Source organism: Homo sapiens, chromosome 14 (genome assembly GCF_000001405.40).
Source record: "Homo sapiens chromosome 14, GRCh38.p14 Primary Assembly".
Taxonomy (NCBI): domain Eukaryota; kingdom Metazoa; phylum Chordata; class Mammalia; order Primates; family Hominidae; genus Homo; species Homo sapiens.
The window spans coordinates 35,851,664-35,867,705 of NC_000014.9; the positions used below are offsets into that span (position 1 = coordinate 35,851,664).

The following is a 16,042-nucleotide window of genomic DNA, read 5'->3' on the forward strand; positions in this document are numbered from 1 at the left end:
AGGATGTGGAGGAATGGAAACCCCTGTGTACTGTTGGTGGGAATGTCAATTGGTGCAGCCATTTTGGAAAACAGTATGGAGGTGCCTCAGAAAATTAAAAGTAGAACCACCGTATGAGCCAGCAACCCCTCTTCCAGGCATACATCTGAAGAAAACGAAAGCAGTAGCTCAAAGAGATATGTGCACTCCCTTGTTCATTGTAGCATTCCAACACCATCTTTTGAAAAGACTGTTTTTTTCCCGTTGTGTATTCTTGGCACCCTTGTTGAAGATCGCTTGACTATACATGGATGGGTTTATTTCAGGGCTCCCTATTCTGTTCCATTGGTCTGTATGACAGTACTATACTGTTTTGATTATTGTAGCTTTGTAATATATTTTGAAATGAAGTAATGTGATGGTTCCAGCTTTCTCTTGCTCAACATTATTTTGGCTATATGGAGTCCTTTGTGGTTCCATTATGAATTTGAGGATTGTTTTTTCTATTTCTGTAAAAAATGCCACTGTCACGACAGAACATGAACCAGAAAAAAGAAAAACCCACTGGTATTATTTTTTGATGAGACAATGTCTTGCTCTATCACTTAGGCTGGAATGTAGTATCATGGTCATACCCACTGTAGCCTTAAACTCGTGGACTCAAGTGATCCTCCCAAGTCAGTCTTCTAAGTATAATAGTTGGAATTACAGGCATGTGCCACCCTGCATAGCTCCAGTGGTATTTTGATAGGGGTTGTGTTGAATCCGTAAATCACTTTGAGTAGTATTGATATTGTAACAATATAAGTCTTCCAGTCCACGAACTCTGGTGTATTTCCATTTGTGTCTTCTTTAATTTCTTTTATTGATGTTTGTCGTTTTCAATATACAAGTCTTTCAGCTCTTAGGTTAAATTTATTCCTAATTGTTTTATTCCTAATTGTTTATTCCTAATTGTTTTATTGTTGTGGTTGTAAATGGGATTGTTTTCTTAAATTTCTAATATCGGCCAGGCGCGGTGGCTCACGCCTGTAATCCCAGCACTTTGGGAGGCCGAGGTGGGCAGGTCATGAGGTCAGGAGATCAAGACCATCTTGGCTAACATGGTGAAACCCCGTCTCTGCTAAAAATACAAAAAATCAGCCGGGCGCGGTGGCGGGCACCTGTAATCCCAGCTACTCAGGAGGCTGAGGCAGGAGAATGGCGTGAACCCGGGAGGCGAAGCTTGCAGTGAGCCGAGATAGTGTCACTGCTGTCCGGCCTGGGCGAAAGAGCGAGGCTCCGTCTCAAAAAAAAAAAAAATTTCTAATATCACCTTGTATTTCTATCAGTCTTTGCTTTATATCTGTATCTATCTATCTATCTATCTATCTATATATAGAGAGAGAGACTTATCATACTCACACATTTTAGAATTTTTATATCCTTCTAAAAAATGTAATATTTATCCTTTTTTAATGCTCTTCTGTCCATGTTTCAGAGACAGAAAAACATTAAAAAGGGATTTAAAAAGTCTATTTTGTCTGATAATTAAAACGGCCACCTTAGTTTTATTTGGCGTGGCATTTGTCTGATACAATTTTTTTTCATTTTTTTAAAACCTTTTTTTCTGGCCTTATATTTTATGTTATCACTTTTTAAATAGCATATATCTTGATGATTTTTTAAAAATCCATTCTAACTACTTCTATTTTAACTGGTAAATTTAGTCCAATTACATTTATAGTGATTATAGTGATTACTTTGATGATGATGTTAATGATGATGATGATGATGATAATGATGATTTTTTGAGACAGGGTCTCATTGTCTCTCAGCTGGAGTGCAGTGGTGTGATCGTGGCTCACTGCAGCCTGTAACTCCTGAGCTCAAGCAGTCCTCTTGCCCCAGCCTCCCAAGTAGCTGTGACTACAGGTGCAAACCATCACACCTGGCTAATTAAGAAAAAAAAAAAAAGTCTTTTTGTACAGGCACAGTCTCGCTATGTTGCCCAGGCTGGGTCTTGAGCTCCTGGGCTCAAGTGATCCTCCTGCCTCAGCCTCCCAAAGTGCTGGGATTATAGGCGTGAACCACTGTGCCCAACCCATATTTTGATATTTAATGCTAACGTATTTTGAGTTTTCCATTTGTTCTGATTTGTCCTTTTTAATTCCCTCATAACTTTTTTGGAGGGGCTAATTTATCAAGTTTTAAAAATAATGTCATAAAGTTATATCCTCTATTTCTGTTAGTGATTACCCCCATACCTTCCATTTCTATTATTTTAATAATTGCCTTAAATTTTCAGCATGCATATCTACATTAATAGAATCTAAAAATTATTAACTCTGCCCACCTTCTTACTATAAAGGACCTTAAACCCTCTAACTCCAGTTATTCCCTCCCAAATTATAATACAAGTTATAGTTGTTCAGTATTTTAGTTCCATCTTGCTTTTTACCCTTCAAACGAGACATTATTTTGGTCTCATATAGTTAGTTCTTTTTAGGTTTATCCATATTTTATTGGTTTCTTGCTCACTGTTTTTGAGTTACAGCCCTTCCATGCAGGCTCCTTTTTGCTTCTTAAAGAACATCCTAGGCATCCCTTCACTAAGAGTCTCTTAGTGGTAAACTCAGTTTTTATTCATCTGAAAATAGCTTTATTTAGAATAATTCTGGAAGGGAAGTTTAGGGGAATATAAGATTCTAGGATGACAGTTATTTTCTCTTAAAGTTTTTAGGATCTTACTTTCCACAGTCTGTGCTTAAGAGCAAGTCTGCAGTCATTCGTCGATAAGCTGGGTTTCCTTCTCACTGGCCGCATTTGAGCTCTTGGTTGATCTTTGGTTTTTCTGCTGTGTGTCCAATATAGATTATTTTTCTCTCTCCTGACTTGGGTTTGTTGTGCTTTGTGAACTCGTATTTTCCTTCAGTTCTGGAAATTTCTCAGCCATTATATTTTCTGATATTGTCTCTGTTCCATTTTCTCTACTTCCTTCTTCCAGAACTCCATTATCTCTTTATTCAGCAAATTATTATCTAAGGTTCTTTGCTGTCTAAGTCTACTGTTTTTTATTTCTTTCATATCTCACAGCTTATTTCCTATGTTATGATTCTGACCTAAGGCAGACTTTATTGGTAGGAATTCTGTGAGCACTGGTCAGAGGATGTAGCTCCTCAGTCTCTGCTTTTATTTCTGCTGGATTGTTTCAGCTAGACATCATGGTGTGCCACCAGCCAATGACTAATTTTGTGCTTGGGATTTCTTGGAAGGTGCAGGTAGTCTGTGTTTGAATTTCAAGTACATAGAGGTCATGCTTGAGAGGACATACTTTCAGGAAAAACTTTTCCCCCCCTCTTACTGCCTAGGCAGAGACAGACATATTTCCCTCAGGTGGATCTTTTTGGTTTACTTTTACATTGTAGTCCTTCGGGGCTTTGTGCAGAGATCCCAGTTCCAGTTCCCTATTCTGCTTAGACCCAGGACCTTTCTCTGTTTCCCAGATAGCCCTGAAAAGCATGCCTCTAGGTTATTGATACCAGCAGATTCCTTTAAGGAAGCCACAGCTTCATCAGGTTAACATGCTGGTTTCTAGCTCCTTGTTGATTTTGGGTCCTTGGGGATATCCCTTATTTTCTTATTTTTTTGTAGAGATGGGGGTCTTGCTATGTTGCCCAGGCTGGTCTTGAATTCCTGTTCTTCAACAATTCTCCCACCTCAGCGTCCCAAAGCATTAGGATTACAGGTGTGAGCCATGTGTCAAGCCACAACTTTATTTTCTTAGAGTTTAAGAATATCTTTAAAAGGGTGTTTGTGGCGTTTTATCCAGGAAATCTATCTAGGTGTGTTGGGTATCTAGTCCACTGTATTGTAAGAAGCAGAAGTCAACAAGTAGTATTTTTATTTAAACACATTGGTCTTCTTCTCTTCTATCATTTTTCAGCTTTGAAAGCCATAGAGATGCTAAATATTAACCGAAATTTCTTCTATTAATAGTTTAGTTGTGGCCTGACATTTTTATGTCTAACATGTTAATCTGACATTTTTATGTTTAACATGTTAATCTGTTTTAAATCATCTATTATATAATTAATCTGAAGATACCAGTAGTTCAAAGACATTCTAGATAGAGGAAATGAAGCAGGGTGAAAGCTAACCTATCTTTAAAATGCTATATATTTTGTATTTACTCTGTCATTGTAATCCTTTCAACAACATTATGGAATAGGAATTATCTTGATTTTATGAGTGGGTTAACTGAGGCTAATAGATGTTGAGTAATTTGCTCAGGGTCACACAATTAATGAGCAGCAGAACCAGGATTGAAATCCTTTGATCTTTCTACCCATTCATGCAGTTTACCATTTAATCTGAATGTCATTATTCAGGGCTTTTTATCTGCTTATTCTTTTGTTCTTACGTTAGACTCATATGGAAATAATTCTGCAAGGCAAGGGAAGCGGAAAGAAGGAAGATACCCTGCCAATTGTCAGAATAAAAGTTTGTTTAGCAGCAGATAGAGAGGAGGGGCAGGACCAGAGACTGGACATGTTCACACAGGCATGCATACAGAAAGTGTCCCCAAAACCACAGGGGCAAGAGGCAGCAGATGGTTTGTATCAAATTAAGGAAGGAAATCACATGTATAGAATATGACAATGTGCCAGACACTAAGACAGGTGGAGATGCTTTATTTAGGTTATCTCAGTTAAGCCTCACCACAGGGCTTGAGATATGACTATTAAGATCTGACGGCAGGTGGTAGCAAGGTCTCAGAATCCTTCAGTGTTCATGTTAGGATTCAGGTTCTCGAGAAAATTGCTGAAAACTATTCGGGGTTCTGATCTTTTCGTTGTTTATTCACTTAATTTTTTTCTGATTATGACATTAGTAAATGTCTGTCGAGAAATAAGTCTAAAGAAAGATAAAATCAACTATAATCTTCCAACCAGAGGTAATCACTGTTAATAAGTATGTACATTTTTTTGGGGGGGGGTTTGTTTTTGAGACAGAGTCTTGTTCTGTCACCCCGGGTGGAGTGTAGTGGCGCGATCTTAGCTCACTGCAAACTCTGCCTCCCAGGCTTAAGCTATTCTTGTGCCTCAACGTCCTGAGTAGCTGGGATTACAGCAGGCATCTGCCACCACACTGGCTAATTTTTTGTATATTTAGTAGATACAGGGTTTGCCATGTTGCCCAGGCTGGTCTCAAACTCCTGGCCTCAAGTGATCCTACCGCCCCAGCCTGGCCTATTTTTTAAAAAACTAGCTAGTATGATTTTGAATCTACTATTTTCATATCCTAACTTATTTTCTCTTTTAAAAAATTTGTTGTGGCCGGGCACGGTGGCTTATGCCTGTAATCCCAGCACTTTGGGAGGCCAAGGCGGGCAGATCACTTGAGGTCAGGAGTTTGTGACCAGCCTGGCCAATATGATGAAACCCCGTCTGTACCAAAAATAGAAAAATTAGCTGGGCGTGGTCACACTTGCCTGTAATCCCAGCTACTTGGGAGGCTGAGGCAGGAGAATTGCTTGAACCTGGGAGACGGAGGTTGCAGTGAGATGAGATCATGCCACTGCACTCCAGCCTGGGCGACAGAGCAAGACTCCGTCTCAAAAAAAAAAATATATATATATATGTATATATACATATATATGTGTGTGTGTGTGTGTGTGTATATATATATATGTTTGTTGTTAGTAGGTAATGTGTGTATATATTTTTGAAGGCATAGCCTTATAATTTATAATGAAAAACAGCAGTCTTCTGTCCTATTTTTAAATTCTGTATCCCAGTGGCAATTATATTTCTAACTTGTGTATCAGTTGCTTCTGGAATTTACCCTCATATTCCTTTCTTAAAAAAAAATTTTTTTATAGAGATGGGGGTCTTGCTATATTGCCCAGCTGGTTTTGAACCCCTGGCCTCAAGTGATCCTCCTGTTTTGGCCTCCCAAAGTGCTGGAATTATAAGTGTGAGCCACTGCGCCTGGCCCTCATATTTCTAAATAAAGCAGTTTTAGACATTATCTATTGGTTTCCTATTATGGAAGCTGAGGATTTTTCTGTTTCATTCTTCTAATACTGTTGTGTTACAGTTTTTGTTTTAAATTATAAATATTGTTTACTGAGTCAAGAGTTACATTATGTTTAAAATTTTTCTTGTGTATTTTTTTAAACTTTGGAATTAATAATTGCTTCATTTATTGTTTGTTAGTTTTCTCTGTGTTTATCAATTCTTCCTACAGACCTTAGCAGATCTATGAGGGCCTCCTAATGCTGTTTTTTTTTTTAATTAAGCTAAACATGTACAGTTGTATTGATTTTTCATGAAGCCTGAGTATTCCACAAAATAAAGAGCATGTTACCTAATGGACTCAAGAAAAGTAAAAAAAAAAAAAAAAGCACTGGACCTCTCATAAGTTTTCAACTGTATGAAGATTTAAACTCCTGTCCAGTAAAGGTCAAAACTGCTTCTCGTTTTAAAGTTAGGTGTAAACAGTGTCTTCTGATGACTTCTAGAATGACCTAGAAAACCCCCTCATATTTGCTTCTTTCAGACACTGAAGTCCTAACGCTGTTTTCTCTGCGATCAAACTTATCAGATAATCCATCAGCCTCATTTTCTTCTGAAGGGCTCCCTCCTGGAAGCAACCCCTCTATCCCTCGTGTCCCCTATCCTCCTGCTCCATCTTTCATTTGGAGGCCAGCTGCATCTGTCTTCTTGGGGCATCTCTTTACCAGCAACCTGGATGTCCCCTTCACCTCTCCTCTGCTAGCATCTTATTTTCTCCTTAAGTTTGGTAGAGTGTATCTTTCAGTAGCATCCTGACAAAGGATTTCTAGAAGTTAGTTTTTTGAGATTTCTTGTATTGCTTGTCTATTGCTTTATAATTAATTACTCCAAAACTTAGTGGCTTAACACAACAATAAACATTTATTATTTTGCAGTCTCAGTGGCCAGGAATTTGGGAGCAACTTAGCTGGATGGTTCTGGCTCAGGGAATCCCAAGAAGTTGCAGTGAAGATATCAGCCAGGGATGCAGTCATCTCAAGGCTTGATTGGAGGCTGGAGGATCCGCTTCTAAGGTGACTCACTCGCAGGCTGGCAAGTTGTTGCTGGTTCTTGGTGAGAAGCCTTAGAGAACCCATGTGAGAACATGGGCCTCTCCACAGGCTGATTGAGTGTCCTCATAACCTGGTACCCAGGTTCTTCCAGACTTAGTGATCCAAGATAGCAAGACAGAGGTGACTGTTTTTATGGCCTAGATTTCTGCCAGATTTTGTTCACTAGAAGTCAGTTGCTATATCTTACCCATTTTTTTTTTTTTTTTGAGATGGAGCCTTGCTTAGTCACCCAGGCTGGAGTGCAGTGGTGCAATCTCGGATCACTGCAACCTCCACCTCTTGGGTTCAAGTGATTCTCCTGCCTCAGCCTGCCGAGTAGCTGGGATTACAGGTTCCTGCACCACGCCCGGCTTATTTTTTCCTTTTTTGTAGTAGAGACTGGGTTTCACCATGTTGGCCAGGCTGGTCTTGAACTTGTGACCTCAAGTGATCCGCCAGCCTCAGCCTCCCAAAGTGCTGGGAGTATAGGCGTGAGCCACCGTGCCTGGCCCATCCTACCCGTATTCAAGAAAGAGTATTAGTCTCTACCATTTGAAATTAGGAGTATCAAAGGATTATTGGACATGTTTTAAAACCACCACATCTTTCCTGTCTGAAAACATCTTGACGCTCACACTTAAGAGTATGGAATTCTAGATAGAAATCATGTTTCCTCAGAATTTTGAAGGCATTGTTCCATTATCTTCTAGCTTCCAGCGTTGCTTTTGTAAAGTCTCTTACCATTTTGATTCCTGATCCTTTGTACATGACCTGTTTTCTTCCTGAATACTTTTAGGATCTTCTCTTTATTCTTGTCTTGGTATTGTGGGATTGTGAGATGATGTGCTTTGATGTGGTCTTTTTTCGTTCATTGTGCTGGATACCCAGAGGAACTTTTGATTTTATGTATTTATTTATTTGAATTTTTTTTTAAAGAGACAGAGTCTCGCTCTATTGCCCAGGCTTGAGTACAGTGGTGCAATCATAGCTCATTGCAGCCTCCAACTCCTGGGCTCAAGTAATCCTCCTGCCTCAGTTGCCTGAGTAGCTGGGACTACAGGCCCACGCTGCCATGCTTAGCTAATTTTAAAAAATATTTTGTAGAGATGGGGTCTCACTGTGTTGCCTAAGCTGGTCTCAAACTCCTGGGCTCAAGTGATCCTCCTGCCTCCGTATCCCAAAGTGCTGGAATATAGGTGTGTGCCATTGTGCCTGACCAGATGAACTGTTTAATAAAAAAATTCGTATCTTCAGTTCTGGGAAATTTCTTATATATTGTTTCTTTAATATTTTCTTTTAGCTTTCATTTTATAAATTTAATCCTTTAGTCCATTTACTTTTATGTGTAATGTAAATTGTATAATGTAAAGCAAAAAATATTCAGGATATAGTTAAAATCATTTTTCTTTTTTTTTGAGACAGAGTCTTGCTCTGTCACCCAGGCTGTAGTGTAGTGGCATGATCTCGGCTTACTGCAACCTCCACCTTCTGGGCTCAAGCGATTCTAGTGCCTCAGCCTCCTGAGTAGCTGGGATTACAGGTGTCTACCACCATGTCTGGATAATTTTTTTGTATTTCTGGTAGAGTAGACAACGAGGTTTCACCATGTTGGCCAGGCTGGTTTTGAACTCCTGACCTCAAGTGATCCACCTGCCTCAGCCTCCCAAAGTGCTAGGATTACAGGCATGAGCCACCGTGGCTGGCCTAAACTCATTTTTCTCTTGTCATTTATTGTCAGATTCCCAGATGATTTAAAAAGTCACCTTTGTCATTTCCGCATAGCCAGAGTCTGTTTCTAAGTTTTAAAATTCTACTCTGCATTTTTTTTATTCCAGTGCAGTATGCTTAAAAAAAAAAAAAAAAAACTATTGTAGCGTTTTAATGGGTCACTCTCTGATAATAGCCTATGAAAATCTTCCAGGGCTCCAGTCCTGATAGAAGTTGAGAATTGTGAGGTATGTTAAGTCAGGGAACTGCCAAAGAGGAGTTGGTTCTGAATACAGGTCAGTGTGAGGTCGGTACAATAATGGAAGCTTGGGGCCACTTTCCTGGGGCTTTTTAAAGCTCTCCTGATGAGAAACAGCATAGGCGTCAGCCTGGGAAAGGGGTTATTAGTGAGCAGGATCAGTAAGTCTAGATGTGAAGACTAGAGGGATGTGGGATCTTGAGACCAAACCTATACTTATGAGTAGTATTTTTTTAAAAACCAAAGTAACTATTGAACATAGAAAACTCCACAGCCACCAAAGCAAGAGAGTTAGCCCCCTTCTTTTCCAGGTATCTTCTAGCTGTTCCATTAGGGCTTCATTTTCCATTCAGGGGAGGTTTTTGAGTGTCTTGAGAAGCTGGAGAAAAGGGAGAGAACTTTCCAAGAAAAAGAAAGAGAAATAAGAATGAGAATGGATTCATGGCAGTTTAAAGTATACTTCTGATATTTTTAGAGATGCCTTCAATGCTTCAAACATTTCAGTTTCATTGTGGCTTTTTAAAAAATAATAAAGAATGATTAGTGGATTTTTAAAAGAATTTCTGCTTGGCCTAATTTGTCAATAGGAAGAAAAGAGAATACACCAATTAAATGTTCATATCCTTAACAGCAAAAGGCTTATCACTCCAGCTCTGTATTTAGAGTCATCTTTGGTTGGGGAGATTGGATCTATTTATAGCTGCTACCACGGTCTTGTGGAGGGGAACTGCTCTCCCTTTTTCTCTGATATTTTCCGAGTTTTGCAGCACAATATAGATAAAGCTGGAATATTTCATAAGACTTTACTAAAGGCAAGGGAACAAGCAAAAGGAAGTAAGCAGAGAGAACAGCATGCAATGAAACCATGTTTGATATGAAATCTAGTTTTAGTTTTCAGCTTTGCTTTCTCCTTAGCACCTGGCTTGCCTCAAGTTTGTAAGCCATCTTTTCCCTGACACTCAGGAAACCCTTCAAGCATGTATAATTTCTAAATTTCAGACTCAAGAGAGAGGGCTTCATGATTGACACCAGGAATGCAGCCTACATGGGTGTGGCCTGTGTTTTCTACATGTAGTCATATCCAACTATATCCCAATAGCTTCCGCAAGACAGTCATATCTGCTATATCCAATTATCTAATATCCTTCACTAGAGGTAAACATGTGGCCATAGGTTTTTTTGTGTAATTGATCTTTATATATTATGTACATTTTATGGCTTTTTAAATTAGGGCTACAGTATTATATAATTAAAAACATGGACTAGAGCTAGTAGACCTGGGTTCTAGTCTATTTGCCAGTCTTGTATGTTGTAGCAATTCAATCTGTCTATGGTTTTGTAGAAAGATTTGGATATGATTAGTCTGTAATTTTATAATTTAGACTATAATTGAATTATTTTAAATAATCATAAAATTTGTACTTGAATCTTTCTCTTTGCCTATTTTAATATGATGCTGAGATATTAGTGAGGCATAATGACCCAATTATTATTCCTGTGAGAAAATATGATCCATTTTATAATGATATACTTTATAGGATAAGTTTTCCATGATGGTGACAGATGGGACCTACTTAAATTTAAAAGGGGCCATAGGGGTTTGCTATGAGTTTTTTATAAAGTAAATATTTACCTCTAAATGTACATCAGACATAATTTAGATGCTCTTATACAGAATGTAATTGCATGTAGTTAAATCTATATATAGATTCTATATTTTCTAGTTTTATTTCTTTCATGTATTTGACATTTCTTCTTTAGAATTTTTAATTGAATTGAAAAAGCAAACCAAAGCATCATATATTAAAGTACTTTAAGTTATTTGGTACTCTTAGTTAAGATACACCAATTTTTTTCTTTCTACTTAAGTATAATCTGTTTTTCTCCCCAGAGCGAAAAGCTGTTGCTATATGATACAGTCCAGAGTGAACTAGAGGAGAAGATAAGAAGGCTTGAAGAGGATAGGCACAGCATTGATATTACCTCAGGTAAGGAGAATGATATGATTGTGATGTTTGAGTGGCACCAGACCTTTGGTTTACTGTAGTGTCATATCGTATCTCAGTCTTCTAATATTAATATTATGTAAATGAAATGTCCCAGCAAAGGAGAAAAGGGGAAGAACTCTAAAGTGATGGTGATTATATTGTTATTGTTATTTGAATTCACACTTTAGAAAGATGTAAAAAATGGAGCACACGACAAGGGACGAAACAGAAGTATGACAGGAACCTACTGGCAGAATAGTGTCAGGGCTGGATGTGGTGCTGCACATCTATATCTACAGTCCCAGCTATGCAGGAGACTGAGGCGGAAGCATCCTTTGATCCCAGGAGTTCGAGATTGCAATTGCAGTGAGCCATGATGGCGCCACTGCACTCCAGACTGGGCAATCTTGTCTCCAAAAAAAAAAAGAATAGTATTGGAAATTAGCTATAGTATATGTTTTTCCTTGTAAGTCTTGAAAGACTGTTATGTGGAAGAAGGAATGAAAACCTTTTTGACATCATACAAGGTAGGACAAACTGATAGAAGTTATAGGGAGGTAGATTTTTGTTTCAGAAAAAGGAATAACTTATTAATGATTAGATCAGTCCAGTGTGAAATTGGCTTTTTCAGGGTGTTACAGAAAGGTTTTTTGCATTGAGTGGAAGGTCTACTAGGTTATCCTACAGTTCTTGAGTATATATTACTTTATCTGTTATAAAGTTTAGTTCTCTATAGGGTAGGCATGGTGGAGTCAGATAAGCTGAGCTCTAGTGCCAGTGCTCCCTCACCTACTAGTCTGGTGACCATGGACAGTTACTTCACTTTTCTAAATCAATCTCCTTGTCTGTAAAAGGAAAGTAATAAGAATACCTACCTCAGTGGTAGCTTTGGGGATTAGGTGAGACAATGCATGTAATATACATTTTACAAAGTGCATGACAATATGGTAATCAGTTCTTAGTCATGAAGTGCCAAATTGATTTTTGCTTTAATAAAGGCAGAGCAAAACTTAAACACGTAGTGCTCATGAAATTATGTACAGCTTAATCTATATATACCCAGCTGCCAATGAAGTTTTTTACGTTTTTACATGTAACTAAATAGCCACCATAAAATTAGAGTCTTTTTTCCTCCTTTGTTCACCAGAAACCCACTAATACTTAATCTTTATTTACCTGCCAGAGCTGTGGAATGATGAGCTTCAGTCAAGAAAAAAGAGGAAGGATCCTTTCAGTCCTGACAAAAAGAAGCCAGTTGTTGTTTCAGATATCCTTTTCCAAATTTTCTGTTTTTTTTTCCTTGATGTGCGTTTTTCCATTGTGCATGCCTTTATAACTTTTATTTGTAAACACTGACTTTATTTGCATGATCCTGTAATAAGCAAAAGATGATTTATTTATAAAACCGATTGAAGACAGAGGATATAGTGTATACTTTAGGTCAGGAGAGGTGGCAGAGGAGAAGAAATTCAATCATGATCTCAACTTTGAAAATTAATGTGACTTGTCGTTCACCAAGGGCTTTGATGTGAAACAGTCGTTTAGTATACAGTATGATTGTTTAATTCTCATGTGTACTTTTTTTTTCTTTTTGAGACAGGGTCTCACTGTGCCACCTAGGCTGGAGTGCAGTGGCACAATCATGGCTCACCTTAGCCTCAACCTCTCGGGCTCAGGTGATCCTCCCACCTTAGCCTCCCAAGTAGCTGGGACTACAGGCACGTGCCACTCGCCTGGCTAATTTTTGTATTTTTTGTAGAGATGGGGTTTTGCCGTGTTGCCCAGGCTGGTCTTGAACTCCTGGGCTTAAGCCTGCATTGGCCTCCCAAAGTGCTAGGATTGCAGGCATGAGCCACTGTGCCTAGCCTCGTATACTTTTTAAAAACATTTTTAAATGTTTCCAAAATTGGAGTGTAAATTAATACGTATATTCAGTTTCGGCATTCTCTATGGTACCATCCCTCTACCCCCATCTTTTCCCCTCCACCTTAAAAACCAGTGATTGTGTTAGTGATGTATATTACAATCAATGATATCATGGAATTAAGGGCATGTAGTTATGACATCAGAAGTACTAGACTGTATTTATGCTGGTACTAAGTGGTTTGAAGAATAATTTGAAGTCAGAATTTAGGATGCCAAAGCATTATGCTCATAAATCATCGTTCCATTTTCTGAAATGTAGTACTTTGGAAATATAATTCAAAGTGTGATATTCTTACAGCTAAATTGACCTTGACTATTCAACGTCCATATATAGTTTATATGCTACAAGATCTTGATATTCTTGAAGACTGGACAACAATTAGGAAGGTATGATTAATGAGCAGTGGAACACAAGTATGTTTTTATAGTCTACTTTTTAAGATTCTATGTTTTTTTTGTTAGTACATCAAAATATTATTGTAAATATGCTTTGCTTTTGCAACATTTTTCTAAGGCAATTTAATACTATTACAGATAGCAGTGAACTACAAGGATATTTTAAGAGTTAGAGACATGTCAGCAGTTTGATTGTATTTTTTCTATAATAATGTAACTAATAATTTATGGAAAAGTCCAAAAAACATTTATTTAGTCTGCCCAAAAATAATAACATCACCATCTGTGCCTAGTCCTTTGGCTGGTCCTGGCTTATAGAAAACACTTGATAAATATTTGTTGAACAAAAGAACATTTGAACCCTTATGTGTCTTGCATCCTATCATTAAACATTCAAGAATCATAGGCTTTTCTTTTCTTGCCTGAAAGTGGAGGCTTGTTTTCCATATTACATTTTTTCATTTTTGTAAATTTCTTAGTTGAGAATTAGAGATTATTTCAGGTATTGAAAACACCTCTAGGAGAAATTGTTATCCCTCATATTCTTTATGGTCTTAGACATTAAAAATTTGTTAGAGCAGCTAATGGTTATACTTTACTGTCTTTGTTATGGAGTTAATCGGTAATATTGTATATATTAAATAGATACCAAAATATATTTTCAGTCTGAACTCAGACTTCTTTCTTCCTCTTTTTTTTTTTTTTTAATTAAGGCAATGGCTACATTGGGGCCACACAGAGTGAAAACGGAACGTAAGTCATTTAGTCTGAGTTGGGAAATATTCTCTTTGGAGACTTGTTGAATCAGGGTTGTTATCTACGTACTAAAGAACTCTTGAATCAGTGGTTTTATTTCATCAGTGAACACCGTGCCTGAAATTATGAGGAATTCTTCTGGAGTCATTGCTTCACGTAAAAGTTTCAAAATTTCTGAATGTGGTATAATTATTTCAGTGTTCAGCTACATTCTTATTGCTAATAATGGATCAGTAACTCAAAAAAGTATTTATGCAGTGTTTTTTATGGGCTCTGTCATTCTATAGGGGAGGTATTTGGAATTTGTGGATTGGCTTCAGAGATTCTGTGAATCCTCTGAAATTATGTGCAAAATTCTGCATGTGCATTTTCTGAGGAGAGAGATCAGAATGCTGATATGCCTTAGTAAAATTCATATCAAGTTACACTTCCTTGATTTTTTTTTTGGAAGTCTAAAATCACTGCCAAAATGTGATGGTGTTTAGGATAAGTTTCTCTGTTTCTGCCTTCTTTCACTATAGGTGAGATTTCCTAATCCTTCTAAGGACAATGAAGCTAGACTAAAAAGAAAAACATATTTGAAATACTTAGGAAAGGAATTTCTAGTCACATTTAAACAGCTTAAGTAATCGATAAGAGACCAATTTCTGTTTAGGCTGGGCATGGTGGCTCATGCCTAGCATGATCCCAGCAATTTGGGACGCTAAGGCAGGAGGATCACTTGAGCCCAGGAGTTTGAGATCTGCCTGGGCAAGATGGCAAGACCCCATCTCTACAAAAAAATACAAAAATTAGCCAGGCTTGGCGGTGTGTACTTGTAGTCTCAGCCTCTTGGGAGGCTGAGGTGGGAGGATCACCTGAGCCCTGGAGGTCGAGGCTCCAGTGAGCCATGATCACACCACTACACTGGGCAACAGAGCAGGATTCCATCTCTAAGAAAAAAAAAATTGCATTTTATTTTTAACCCCATGATTCCTTTAAACTTTTTATTTTGTGAGGAAATTGCAGCAGTATTTGCCCTGGGGAATTAACTGCCAGAGCAGCTGCCTAGACCTGTAGAGCAGTGGTTCTTAACATTTTTGGGTAATAGATTCCTTTTGAGAATCTCATTATCATAGTTGAGTGTGTCTCCCTCCCACTCTTATCTTCAGCATTGTATCCTATTAGTTTTACTCATAGCACTTCACTCAATTTGTACTTTTTAATTTTGTCTATCTCCTGACTGGATTGTAAGCTCCACAAAGGCTAGAACCATATCTCTTTTGGTCACAGTTTTTTCCCCAGCATACTTCCTTGTGTATAGGAAGTGTTCAGACAACATTTGTTGAATGAATGAATGAATGAATGAATGAATATACCCGATGGTATTTTAGGCCCTGAGAATACAATGGTAAAAGAAATATGGATCTCCTGGAGCCTCTTTAGGGGAGGTGGAATCATATATATGTAGATAAACAGTTAAGAAGATAGTTACAGATTATAATAATTACTCTAAAAGAACTGTGCAGTTGATATAACAATTAGCTGAGGAGTGGGTAGAGTAGTTAGGGAAGACCTCTCAGGAGCTGACATTTGAATGACTTCATGGTATGCTTTTGACACTGTGTTTCCATAAAAAAGATTTTTTTTTCCTGTATGAGTTATCTGACTAATGCCAGATGATTTCTGGAATTTAAAAATAGAAGTTGTACTTAGGACATTTCCTTTTTAGAATTAAAAGCCTGGGGAATGCTTGGAACATGTATTAAACTCTGCTTCTTTCGGTATATCAGATGCCCGCAGGGGAAAAAATAAAAAGTATAATTTTCAATTGAAATATGGCAATTGATATTTTAAATACTACTTAAAATTCACACTAGTAATTGATAACATACCTGCTTCCCCTTCTGGTACTTAATTAGTCAATTGATGATTTATTGTTCATTGTTTAGCTTTGTTTAG

At 37.8% G+C, this 16,042-nt stretch overlaps 1 protein-coding gene across 4 annotated transcripts in view; it reads left to right on the plus strand.

The window, feature by feature from the left end:
• BRMS1L (BRMS1 like transcriptional repressor) overlaps window positions 1-16,042 on the plus strand; it is a 45,626-nt gene that overhangs the window by 25,326 nt on the left and 4,258 nt on the right. For all 4 annotated transcript variants that reach the window (XM_047431806.1, XM_005268128.2, NM_032352.4 and 1 more), the window contains 4 exons: window positions 10,927-11,023; window positions 12,207-12,290; window positions 13,272-13,336; window positions 14,059-14,098. In XM_047431806.1, the coding sequence (XP_047287762.1) occupies window positions 10,927-11,023; window positions 12,207-12,290; window positions 13,272-13,336; window positions 14,059-14,098 (286 nt within the window). The remainder of the gene's footprint in view (window positions 1-10,926; window positions 11,024-12,206; window positions 12,291-13,271; window positions 13,337-14,058; window positions 14,099-16,042) is intronic.